The 12,297-nt window shown below is 42.4% G+C and overlaps 2 protein-coding genes across 38 annotated transcripts in view, besides 4 other annotated features; one reads left to right on the forward strand and one right to left on the reverse strand.

The window, feature by feature from the left end:
- The window catches only part of SENP1 (SUMO specific peptidase 1), a 63,183-nt gene extending 55,333 nt beyond the window's left edge, over nt 1-7,850 (reverse strand). For 4 of the 16 annotated variants that reach the window (NR_051991.1, XM_011538244.4, XM_006719361.4 and 1 more), the window contains exons 1-2: nt 7,173-7,763; nt 3,240-3,287 (exon numbers count right to left, since the gene is read on the reverse strand). Coding sequence is in view for 11 of the 16 variants with exons in the window: in XM_011538244.4 (XP_011536546.1) it covers nt 3,240-3,287; nt 7,173-7,224 (100 nt within the window). In the remaining 5 variants the exon portion in view is untranslated. Of the gene's footprint in view, nt 1-832; nt 926-3,239; nt 3,288-7,172; nt 7,764-7,798 lie in introns of those variants that run through there. The other 12 variants (XM_017019237.2, NM_001267594.2, XM_017019235.2 and 9 more) reach the window with 7 other exon arrangements.
- Nucleotides 6,847-7,722: an enhancer, noted in NCBI's record as "H3K27ac hESC enhancer chr12:48498859-48499734 (GRCh37/hg19 assembly coordinates)". NCBI's record gives its function as "activates a minimal SCP1, AML or CMV promoter by ChIP-STARR-seq in primed H9 embryonic stem cells {active_cell/tissue: H9 hESC(primed)}" and the evidence as "EXISTENCE:reporter gene assay evidence [ECO:0000049][PMID:30033119]".
- Nucleotides 7,124-12,297, forward strand: part of PFKM (phosphofructokinase, muscle) — a 41,052-nt gene continuing 35,878 nt past the window's right edge. For 3 of the 22 annotated variants that reach the window (XM_047428999.1, XM_011538487.2, XM_047429000.1), the window contains exons 1-3: nt 7,252-7,581; nt 9,136-9,226; nt 9,843-9,965. In XM_047428999.1, the coding sequence (XP_047284955.1) occupies nt 7,381-7,581; nt 9,136-9,226; nt 9,843-9,965 (415 nt within the window). In that variant the 5' untranslated portion in view covers nt 7,252-7,380. Of the gene's footprint in view, nt 7,191-7,251; nt 7,582-7,643; nt 8,083-9,135; nt 9,227-9,842; nt 9,966-12,297 lie in introns of those variants that run through there. The other 19 variants (XM_047429001.1, XM_024449020.2, XM_047429002.1 and 16 more) reach the window with 10 other exon arrangements.
- Nucleotides 7,228-7,437: an enhancer, noted in NCBI's record as "active region_6278". NCBI's record gives its function as "activates an Ori minimal core promoter by ATAC-STARR-seq in GM12878 lymphoblastoid cells {active_cell/tissue: GM12878}" and the evidence as "EXISTENCE:reporter gene assay evidence [ECO:0000049][PMID:35858748]".
- Nucleotides 7,578-7,717: a silencer, noted in NCBI's record as "silent region_4405". NCBI's record gives its function as "represses an Ori minimal core promoter by ATAC-STARR-seq in GM12878 lymphoblastoid cells {active_cell/tissue: GM12878}" and the evidence as "EXISTENCE:reporter gene assay evidence [ECO:0000049][PMID:35858748]".
- Nucleotides 7,723-8,596: an enhancer, noted in NCBI's record as "H3K27ac hESC enhancer chr12:48499735-48500608 (GRCh37/hg19 assembly coordinates)". NCBI's record gives its function as "activates a minimal SCP1, AML or CMV promoter by ChIP-STARR-seq in primed H9 embryonic stem cells {active_cell/tissue: H9 hESC(primed)}" and the evidence as "EXISTENCE:reporter gene assay evidence [ECO:0000049][PMID:30033119]".

Here is a 12,297-nt window from a genome sequence, read left to right on the forward strand (position 1 = left end):
TGTCTCATGCCTGTAATCCCAGCACTCTGAGAGGCTGAGGCAGGAGGATTTTTTTGAGGCCAAAAGTTCAAGATCTATCTAGGCAACATAGTAAGACCCTGTCTCTACAAAAAAATTTAAAAATTAGCCAGCAGGTCAGGTGTGGTGGCTCACACCTGTAATCCCAGCACTTTGGGAGGTTGAGGCGGGTGGATCACGGGGTCAGGAGTTCAAGACCAGCCTGGCCAACATGGTGAAACCCTGTCTCTACCAGAAATACAAAAATTAGCCAGGCATGGTGGCGGGTACCTGTAATCCCAGCTACTCGGGAGGCTGAGGCAGGAGAATTGCTTGACCCTGGGAGGCAGAGGTTGCAGTGGGCCAAGATCGTGCCACTGCACTCCAGCCTGGGCAACAAGAGCAAAACTCCATCTCAAAAAAAAAAAAAAAAAGTTAGCCAGCCAATGTGGCACGTGTCTGTAGCCTCAACCACTTGGGAAGCTGAGGCAGGAGGACTGTTTTGAGCCCATGAGTTCAAATTTACAGTGAGCTATCATCACACCACTGCACTCCAGCCTGGGGGACAGAGGGAGACCCTATGTCTAACAATAATAATAAAAAAAGACAAAAAAGAACTTGAAGAACAACTCTGCAATAAAATAAAATCCCTCTTTCATAGCTAACCAATGGCAAAAATCTCATATTGTCATTGTCAAAAGAGGTCCATGTGCAGAAATTGGCTCATTTGGAATTAATTGAGGCCATCTACCAAACAGTTCAAAACTTGTACACATATAAAAACAGCTTAATTTAAAGCTTTAAAAATAACGAGACCAGGCAAGGTGGCTCACACCTGTAATACTAGCACTTTGGGAGGCTGAGGCAGACGAATGGCTTGAGCCCAGGAGTTCGAGACCAGCCTGGGAAATAAGGCAAAATCTTGTCTCTATTAAAAAACAAAACAAAACATTAGCCAGACATGGTGGTGCATGCCTGTAGTCCCAGCTACTCAGGAGGCCGACCTGGAAGGATACTCTGAGCCCGGGGAGGTCAAGGCTGCAGTGAGCCATGACAGAGTCACTGCACTCCAGCCTGGGTGACAGAGTGAGACCCTGTCTCAGAAAACAACAACAACAACAACAAAGAAAAACACAAACAAAAAACAAAAATGCTCCCAAAAGAAACTTTTTAAATATTTTAACTATAGAAAAAATTTTAAATATAAAAAAATTGGGGGAAAAAATTCACCATTCAGTAACACACACTGTTAACACTGGTTCATTTCCTGTTTTAACACAAAGAAGTGCTTTAAGAAGTAATCCACCTGCCAGGTGTGGTGGCTCACACCTGTAATCCCAGCACTCTGGGAGGCTGAGGTGGGCGGATCACTTACTTGAGGCCAGGAGTTTGAGACCAGCCTGGCTAACATGGCAAAACCCCATCTCTACTAAAAATACACCAGGCATAGTGGCACATGCCTGTAATCCTAGCTACTTGGAGGCTGAAGCATGAGAATCGCTTGAACCCAAGGCAGAGGATGGAGTGAGCCAAGATAACACCACTGCACTCCAGCCTAGGCAAGAGAGTGAGACCCTGTCTCTAATAATAATAATAATCTGCCTGAACATTTTTTTAAAAGCATAATTTTATTCATATTGCTCTTAACAGGTATCAGCTCAATAACTATAATATTATGGCAGAATTTTACTTCAGAACCATTTTTGATACCTTTGTTACTATAGAAGAGCTAGAATAGAAGCAATAAACGTAACAGAATTCAACGACTTACACTGCTATCAGCAATGAGAGAAAATGGAAACAAATGAACAGGGAAGGAGAAGGCAGACTAAGGAAAAGGAAAACACAGAATAGAGAGAAAGCTAATGTGAATGTAAAAGGAACATATGGGATGTTATAAGACCTAAGTGTATAGATTTTTCAACTTATTCCTAAATTAGCTACTAGTCCTGACCTTATATTGATCCCCTTAACAGACATAAAGTACTACAAATGAAATAGTGAAAAATGTCCTAACCACAATTCTCAGTAACACTAGCTAAATGAAATAGAATATTTACATTAATCAAATTATTTATCATTTAGAAGTAGTATAACATAGTACTAAGGAACAAGAACTCTTGGCTGGGCGCAGTGGCTCACCCCTGTAATCTCAGCACTGTGGGAGGCCAAGGCAGGCGGATCACGTGAGGTCAGGAGTTCAAGACCAGCCTGGCCAACATGGCGAAACCCCATCTCTACCGAAAATACAAAAATTAGCCGGACTTGGCGGCGCACGCATGTTTGTAATCCCAGCTACCTGGGAGGCTGAGACAGGGGGATTGCTTGAACCCAGGAGGCAGAGGTTGCAGTGAGCTGAGATCATACCACTACACTCCAGCCTGGGTGACAGAGCGAGACTCCGTCTCAAAAGAAAAAAGAGAAAAAAAAAAAAAGAACGAGAACTCTAGAAAACTCTAGAACCAGAGTGCCTAGGTTTAAATCCTGGCTCAGCCAGTTATAGTACATGACTCTAGGCGAGCTTCTTAACTTCTGTGTCTCAGTTTCCTTGTGATATAATAGGGATAACAACAGTAACCTACTTGGTAGGTACTATTAGGTACCCTTGTAAGATGGTTATAAGGATTAAATGAACCAATATATTTTAAATACTTAGAACAGGGTCTAGTACACAGTAAATGTTTGCTAGGGTATACTTAACTTTTTCAATACAATCAATGAGATAATACTCCTAAATGAGCATATAAACAATGTTCTAACCAAAAGATAATTATGTGGGCTGGGTGCGGTGGCTCATGCCTGTAATCCCAGCACTTTGAGAGGCTGAGGTGGGCCGATCACCTGAGGTCAGGGGTTTGAGACCAGCCTGGCCAACATGGCGAAACCCCGTCTCTACTAAAAATACGAAAATCAGCCGGACGTGGTGGCACATGCCTGTAATCCCAGCTACTTGGGAGGCTGAGGCAGGAGAATTGCTTGAACCCAGGAGACAGAGGTTGCAGTGAGCTGAGATTGTGCTACTGCACTCCAGCCTGGGTGACAGAGCAAGACTACGTTTCAAAAATAGCAATAATAATAATTTTGTTTGGTATATAGTATTACATAATTAGGATTAAAATTTCTCTTAAAATTATTATTAAGCACAAAGATACAAATACTGAAAATGTTAGGAAAACCCATTCTTTCACTACAGCTTAACCAATGAAAGTAGCTAAAAGGATTCAACAGCTAGTTAGTCTTACCCATTTCAAGTCTTTTCACATCACTGACTTTAGCAAAGATACAAAGTCCTATAAAAGAAGACACAAAACAGAAAAATTACATACTGAAACACCTACTTCACTTAATTTTAGAAGGTGCAGCCACTAGAAGTGACATTTGTTTGTGTTCTTAGTGGAGAAAAATCTAAGGTGGTAAAGAGTTGACTTGATGGGAAAAGAGTAAAAACTAAAACTAGCTTGAGGTACTTCCAAACATTTCTGCAACCTGTACTACATTAAACAGCAATTACAGACTACGCACAGAATCACAGAATATTAAAGCAAGAAGCAAATTGGGAGCGCCAACCCTTAAGAGACTGAGTGGTTTGCATAAAGTCATAATGTTAGCAACTACACCGAAATTATAACCTAGAAATTCTTCCCAATCCATTGTTCTATTACCTCATGCTAAATCACTTCATAAACAAGTGACAGACTTTGTGATGGTCCTATTAAGACTTTTCTTCCATGTCTTACTCAGTAGCCTGATACTCTAATGACAATCAAGAACTACTCTGGAGTAATACAAAGTACTTCCCCCAACATCATCAATCAAACTGCTACAAACCAAAGCCCCTTTGCCTATATAAAAATTACTGTCTCCTCTGATGTATCCACTTTTTCCACAAAATAAAGATGTTAAAAACCAAACTGCTGGCCGGGTGCAGTGGCTCACGCCTGTAATCCCAACACTTTGGGAGGCCGAGGAGGGCAGATCACTTGGCCAAGGAGGTCAAGACTTGGAGGCCAGCCTGGCCAACATGGTGAAAACCCATCTCTACTAAAAATACAACAATTAGCCAGGTGTGGTGATACGTGCCTGTAATCCCAGCTATTCAGGAGGCTGAGACAGAAGAATTGCTTGAACCCAGGAAGCAGAGGTTGCAGTAAGCCGAGATCATGCCACTGCACTCCAGCCTGGGCGACAGAGCAAGACTCTGTCTCAAAAAAAAAAAAAAAAAAAAAAACCAAACACAAAAACACAACCAAACTGCTTGGAACTAGGTTAATAAACATATCCTCGGCACATATGGTCTTGGTAGATTTCCAAGAGGAGGAGGCTACTAGGGATGGTAATAGTCACACCTATATATATTTATAATCTTATAACCATATTTTTAAAAAATATTAAGCACTTCATCAACCACATAGCAATACTAGGGCTTCAATGTATTCATGAGGCTGGATGATGATAATAGGCATTCTTTGTGGTCACAATAATGAAAGTCACACAAAGGAAGGCAGCTTAAAGTTTTCTTGGCGTACGAGACCACGCCACTGGCCACTGCACTCCAGCCTGGGCGACAGGGCGAGACTCCGTCTCAAAAAAAAAAAAAAAAAAAAGTTTTCTTGGCATAGCTATAGACTAAGCAGAGTAATTATCTGATTACCTAGTCTTGCCAGGAAGGATCCCTAAAGAATTTAAGCCTTAGATTTATGCTTCAAATATATTTCCAAATGCTCAACTTAAAAGGCTTCTTTACTAAAAATTCTTCAGGTTATTCTTTCCCCTTCTTTCTTCTTTAATAGAGTAGACTCCCTTGGGTTCCAGATTAAGGGGGAAAAAATCTTATCAACTAATATATTAGCAACACTTTTTTGACATTTTAAAGTTGCTTCATAATTGTCATTACTAGCCTTTTTAAAATTATTATTAAGAAGAATGCCAACTTAAAAGCTTGGTGCCCAACAGAATAATCCCATGTCAATTTCCTTGCATTTTGTTGGGATAGATGTGAAGAGAAAAGGAAGCTAGAAATTCAAAGAATTTTACCGATTATATCCAGAGAGGTTAAGTGACTTCCCTGAAATCACACAGATGGGGCAAAAAGAAGACAAGAATCCATGTATCCTGACTCCAGGGCAAATGCACATTTCAAACATTATACAACTTCAAATCCTTTAACACAACCTCAAAGATTAATACACACTGGCAATTTAAAAGTAATCCCTCACTAACCCTGGGGAATCCACACTGATTTATAATTTTAAATAATTAAAACCCCACATTTATATTTTACTACAAATACATCCAGCTACTTCAGTGTGCTTATGGTACATTCTTTTAGCCACTTGCAGTTACATTGGGAGAAGGAATATTTTACCCCAAGATTCTCCATGAAAATGTTGGATCTGGAACCTCTGATGCCACCAAATTCAAGCAACTGTAAAAATGTTTTCTTTTTAAAAAAAATGATTCTAATAATTCATTTCCTAGTATACACTGGTCATGTAATTTACTGAAAGAACATAAGCTGTTACAGACATTCAGATGAAGTCAGGTTAGTAGTGGAACACAAGATAATGGGAAACCTGAAAGAACAAAAAAGATCACAGTCTTGACAACTGCGGTGAAACACTTATAACCTTACATATATGCAAAAAGGGGATTATGAAAGACAATGTCTAGGGCTGCAAGGAAGTTACTAGAAAATATATATTGAGGCTGGGCACGGTGGCTCACACCTGTAATCCCAGAACTTTGGGAGGCCGAGGTGGGCAGATCACGAGGTCAGCAGTTCAAGACCGGCCTGGCTAACATGGTGAAACCCTGTCTCTACGAAAAATACAAAAATTAGCCAGGTATGGTGGCAGGCACCCATAATCCCAGCTACTCGGGAGGCTGAGGCAGGAGAATCGCTTGAACCCGGGAGGCGGAGGTTGCAGTGAGACAAGACCAAGCCATTGCACTCCAGCCTGGGTGACAGAGCGAGACTCTGTCTAAAAAAAGAAGAAAAAAATATATATAGAGAGAGAGAGAGAGAGAGACGGGGGGGGGGGGGGGGGCGGAGGGAGGGAGAGAGAGAGAGAGAGAGACGCAATGTTAGCTTTATCCAGGACCAAGATGTGGTTAGAACAATTTATGATATAAGAAGGGTGTGAAAGCAACCATGTGAAATCACCCTTTTCCAAGTTCTGAAAAACAATTATGTGTACAATAGTTTGTACTATATCGTCATGTGTTTGAGGTTCTTTCCTTCTATTTTTACATGTAATCTCTCCCAATCACTCTAACACCTTAAATACCTTAACACTCTAACGCCGTAAACCCTAAGTGTTCAAATTCTTTCATACACATTCATTTACTGTGCACCGACTACGTGCATTAAGAAAGGGTCCCTGCCACTGAGCAGCTCACTGTCCAGTAGGGAAAGCCAGATCCATAAACAGGTACCGCAAGACAGTAGAGCTGGTACAACTGATAGAAGATGTAGAAGTTGGGAAGAAAAGGACAAGAGTTCCAAAGCCGCAATGCAAGTCAACAACTGCATTCCCTTAGCCAGAAGTAGCAGAACCTGTTTTTGTACCCATCCACTCCCTCTAGACAACTCATTAGATGAGTGACATGAAGACCATCTTTGCAGTTGGGATAATTAATTGAAGTCAGTTAAAAATGAATAAGCCTTCCTAAAAGGGACTAGAGAGGAAAAATAAAGGGTGGTAGAGTGTAAACTGGAAGTAGGTTAAGGGATCATGCTTATAGAGATGCTTAAAGTTGCGCTTTAACTGTAATTTCAAAGTCAGGGTAATCTGTATTTCAACATGAGTCCTTAACACAAATTATTTTTATGAAGAATAAAGATTTAGGAGATGATGAGATCTAATACATCCAGAATAACCAATTATAACAAAGACCCTCAGTCAAATAGTTGGTAGTAGATAAAAGGCTTTATATGAATATTACAAGAATCACCACCACTCCAAATATAATAAGTGTACCAAATATGAAGTAAAATGACTTTAACAAGGCTGACTTGAAAGTGATAAAGAAGCAAGTTACTGCTAACAAGATAGTGGAAATACTGCACAGGCACCGATAAACAGAAATCACCAAGCTCAAGGAAAGAGAAACGAGGCATAGATCCAGAGATCACGTTAGGGTACACCAAGAAAGAGACGGTTCAAGGGAATTACCAGGAGGCGATGAGCCAGGTAAGCAAATTGTGGCAGTTAAGGGGATTTTCATAACCTGAGCAGGAGGGTCCAGACGTTTCTTTCTGATGGTGGCACTAGCGATATCACATCTCAGGGAGATACCACAGAGTAGGAGAGTTGGAGAAATGTTTACGTGAGACGCAGAAGTAGTCAAGAAATATCACTCGGGTCTCAAGGAAGGCGGGAGATGAAGCCGGTACCACAGAAAGCCGAGCTTCCCGGTGAAAACAGCTCTCCCCAGAGAAGACCCAGCTCTGGCGGGAAAGCCCCGGAATCGCAACCGGCCTTTCCCCAAGTACGGCTGGGCGCTGGGATGGGGCCTGCTGTAACGGCAGGGAGACGGTCTCTCCGCGGCCCAGGAGAGAGAGACCAGAAGGAACGGCCTCAGGTAGCCTAACGGCCACCGGCGGCCACAGCGCGGCCACCGGACAGCAGGGGGGAGGGGAGGTGGTCCCAGGGGGCGGGGCAGAGGAAAAGGCGCCGGCCCCACAGTGCTCCCCGCTTCCGCCCAGTCCAGCCCGGGCCGGCTGACCGGGTCCGACACAGTCTCCTGGACCAGGCTCCCTCCATCCTCACCCCTCCCCCAGCTTCCCGCCGCCACTCACCGAACCGGAACCGGCTGCCATGCGAAGGGGTTTCCGGCCGGGCGCGGAACGCAAAACCCGGGAACCGCCGCGAACCGGAACCGCCTTCACAGCACCGGAAGAGTCGCTAGGTGGCTGAAGAGGAGGGGGCTGGGGCAGGAGGTCAAAGAACAGAGTTAAGGACCAGTGGGGCGCCTGCGCGGTGTGGCGAGGCCCGAGAAGCGAAGGGAGCATTTAAGACTAGTCGTAATTTCTCAGTACCCTTTTCAGTCTGGGCTTTTTCGCTTTCTCGTACTCGGAATACTGTTAGTGAGCCCTTCGTCCTATGCTTTTCTCTGTTCCCTCTGCTCCCTTACCCGCCGCCTTCTGGTTCCGCCCGGCGAGTTTTGCTTGCTTGCGTTCCAGTTTCCATGGCAGCTTTTCGCGGTGGCCCTAAATCTGCGGAAACCTGTGGCTTCCCCCGACAGATAGGGACCTGAGATCTAAATCGATCTCAGGCTATCTCGTGTTTTATTGAGAATCACAGAACGTTAGTGCTTGTAGAGGTTATTGGAGATACTTTAGTCTTACCAGGTTCAGAGAAGTGAAGTGATTTCCCAAAGGTTTTAAGTGCACGGCCCATCTAGGACTAGGAAACAAGTTTCTTAACTTGCAATCCTGTACTCTGCACCACCTCATACTTGATTGACCATTCAGCAAGCAAACAAACAAACAAACAAGCAACTTGAGGACGGATTAGGCTAGACTCTGGCAAGATGTAGAACCTTCCAGAACTCTGGAGGAATTTGAAACAGGCAGAGCTGTGAGGAAAGCTTTTGGGAGCCCACTAGAGATCTGCTTTTCTGGGTAGAGATAGAGAAGGACCCAGGAATCACCTGTGACCTTTGAAGGGCTTTGTTGTTCCTGGGACACATTGATTAACCTGGAATCTGCCATACTTTCTAAGAGAACATAATGGGAAGAAATATGTTTGTTCATTCAGGCTTTTTGTCAAGCACCTCAGCTTGGCAGGCCTCTGGACCCAGGCCCTGTAGAAGTCTTAGAGAAATGCCCCCTTAATAGGTCCTTTACACCCAGATCACAGCCACAGGCACAGTCTGAGCTCAGACTTAAAGAAGGGCAGTTTCTGGAGGCCCCCAGCCTTTCTGATACTCTCAGCAGCTTGCTGAGTTCAGGGTTTCCTCCCCTGTCAAATACATCAAAGTAGATTATTTGTATTGCCTCATGTGCTGATACTTTTATATTATATTGTCAAGTCCTAAGGCCAAGTAGTCATGAGTGTAGCTGGTCCATGTCAGTCACTGACATCTTATTTCACAGCTCTGTTCGTTTGGATTAAACTCTGTCTCTATTTCTAGGAGGCAGCCATGCATAAAGACGAGTTTCATCTGAAATTTTTCATGTGTGTGATTCAGTCTCGCCAGTTAGTCAGGACTCCTCAGAGAACAGGTACCCTTGTCTCCTGATCATACTCCAGTGACAGAGAATGGGTTCTCTCACAAGAAGTCTAAATACAGGATGTGAGGCTTTCTAGTGTAAATACGGATTTTAGGGGTCAACTGACCTTGTTTATCACATTCTCACTTTGATAAAATATTGATCACTGAGTCGTGTATTTTCCAGGTAAGATTTTGACCTGGTTTGTTGTGATAGATGCCAGGCAGATAAGGAGGACTTGAGAGTTGAGGGGGGAACAAAATTTATCCCATGAGCTTGTCATTATTGTGTTGTTATGTGAATTACTTCGACCAGTCTGGGCTCATCTGTGGGAATCTTTATTGTCATTATAACTGACACTCCAAAACTATCAGATAAATCAAGCCCTAAGGAAAAATGGCCTTCTCATCCACCCCACCTCAAAGTATCTAGTTATATGTTCTGCTTTCCCCCATGTATGTCAAGGGAATAGAATCTTTTTGAGGTACATCGCGTCTCTAATTTTTCACTGGATTTTTGGAAAGAAAGCCCTGGACAGCTCAGAGTCATAGGGAAAATGAAAGGGAGTAAGGAACACTCCCTTCCCAGAATCCCACCTTGAGGGTGACCTAAAGCTATTGTTTCTCAGCTGGGGAAGCTTCTACTTCCAGCATGCTCATACCAAAGCCACCACCAAAGACAGACATCTTGAAGAGTCTAGATACTATGGATGATCCAGACACCGTGGGAAGCATACCTGTTTTCAAAACTGGTGAGGCATGTGGGTCAACAGTGAGAAATGTTCAAAGGAATATGGGAAAGTGAAAGTTGTATGCATAGTATTATAAATCAGCGTAGACCTACTAAAGCTGAAATATAAGACCCAAGGGGGAAAGTCTGTGTGTGTGTGAAACAGAGAGAGAGAGAAAGAGAGAGAGAAAGAGAAAGAGGGATGGGGAGGGAAAGGAAGAAGGGAGAGAGGTGGGGATGGATCATCTGGGAAATTGTAGGGAAACAGACACATCTCTATGCAGAATAACTTAATTTGGTCAATATTAAATCAATTGGCTCATAACTGTAAACTACTAATCTGGTTTATCCTATTGTCAGCATCCTTGATATATAAATATGTGAAACTTAAGAAAGTTGACTAAATGAGTTATTATTTTACAAAATGATTCTAAATATTGTAAAAAATTTTCATCTTAGGAAACCATTTAATAATAGATTTCTCATGTATTTTTAAATGTTCAATTCACAGGCAATTTATATGAAGCTTCAGAAACACATCTATGTATTTCGTCTTAACTTAAATACATCTATATTGGAGTCAATTCACTGGAAACCTTTATTGAGTTCCCGCTATTTGCCCAATAATATACTGGAAATGATAGATTATAAAACATATGTATAAGGCATATCCTTGCCATTGCCCCAATAGCTTACACTTTGGAAATGCCTTAGCGATTATTTACCCCAACTCTCTTATATTTTCAGAAGGAACTCAGGACTAAAAGGTTTTCCTCAGAAAGTTGATAATTTCATTAAAGTAACAACTCCTAGCACTTATGAAATATATATCAGTATTTAGCCATATTTTTGAGCACTCACTATTTGAAATCATTGGGCTAGACTCTGTAGGAAATGAGAAAATGAAATAGACACTTTCCCTGTTCCCTAGGAGCTTATGATTAAGGACGGGAGATAATATGGAACAATGTGTAAGTTAAGAACTTAATAATTTTGGTTCAAAATGTTGAATTGGTTCAAAATAAGATGCCATAGAAATGTAGGGTTCAAAATAACTTTGGTTCAAAATAAGATGCCATAGAGATGTAGGGAAGAGAACAGCCAGCTGACTGCTCAGAGCCAGCTTTTCTTTTCCTTCCTTCCTTCCTTCCTCCCTCCCTCCCTTCCTTCTTTCTTCCTTCCTTTCTTTTTCTTTTCTTTCCTTTTTTCTTTTCTTCCTTTTGCAACTGTTTGTGGTCTACATCCCTTTAATCAGACTTCCTTTGCCCCTGCATAGAAAGCAGCAAGAAATAAACCCAGCTGATGGTTTTTTCCTATTGTTTATTGAATTTGTACAGATTATTTCTTATTTGCCCTCATCTTTCCTGCTTTTTTCATTCTCCTTTTGCTCTGGTGTACCTAAAACTCACCTCAGACTCCCTTTGCTCTGATGACTCATTTGGACCTGCTTCTGTGGTTTGAACTCAGCATTGTCTCATGGACAAAATTCTGATGTTCAACTTCTGCCTTTAAATCCTGGGGTCTGTGTGGCTCAGTTAAGTGGCCACTCTTAACCCTTTCAGCTTTCCTACTAGAGAAAGGAAATCTAATATTTTCCCAGCACCAATAAGGCCTCCATTCCTCCTCTTCTGCCTACCTCCCTGCTTCCTTCCTCATCCTTTCCTCTTCCCTTCCTCCTTCCCTCCTACTCTTCCTCCTTCTTTGACTTCCTTCCAAGAGAATGTGTTGAGCACATACTATGTCAAGTACTGTACTTGGCACTGGGAATAAAGTAGTAAACAAAACAGGTACATTGTCTGCTCTCATGAAGTTTATAGTCTTGTGGGACTAAGACAGTAATCACACAATCACACACATGGTTATATAACTAGAATGGTGTTAGTGCAATGAAGGAAAATAACTCCATGTAATCAGAGGATAAAACAGGGGGTGTAATATGGCCTGAGAAGTCAGAAAAACCTTTCTCAGGAAGACCTGAGGGATGAGTATGCATTAGCCAGGCAAAGAGAGAAGAGCTTTCCAGAAAAGGGGACAATAGGCTGTGAAACGGGAAAGAGCAGAATGGGCCAATGTGACTTGATGATGGGAGGAATAGCGGGAGAGTGAACTGTACAGGTGGTGTAAGAGCCAGATTGTGCAGTGCCTTCTAGGTCTTATGGACACTTTTGAGCTCTGGGAAATCACTGAAGAATGATAGGATCATATTGCGTTTTAAAACATCTTTCTGGCTCCTGGGTGGAGGATGGATTGGAGAGGTACGAGGGTAGTTATCTGCTCTAATGAGATGGATGCCACTGCCTTGCTCCATTTCTCACCTCTAGGCAATGCATCACTATAGGGCACCAGTGAAATGG

The sequence above is a fragment of the Homo sapiens genome, chromosome 12 (assembly GCF_000001405.40).
Source record: "Homo sapiens chromosome 12, GRCh38.p14 Primary Assembly".
Classification (NCBI taxonomy): Eukaryota; Metazoa; Chordata; class Mammalia; order Primates; family Hominidae; genus Homo; species Homo sapiens.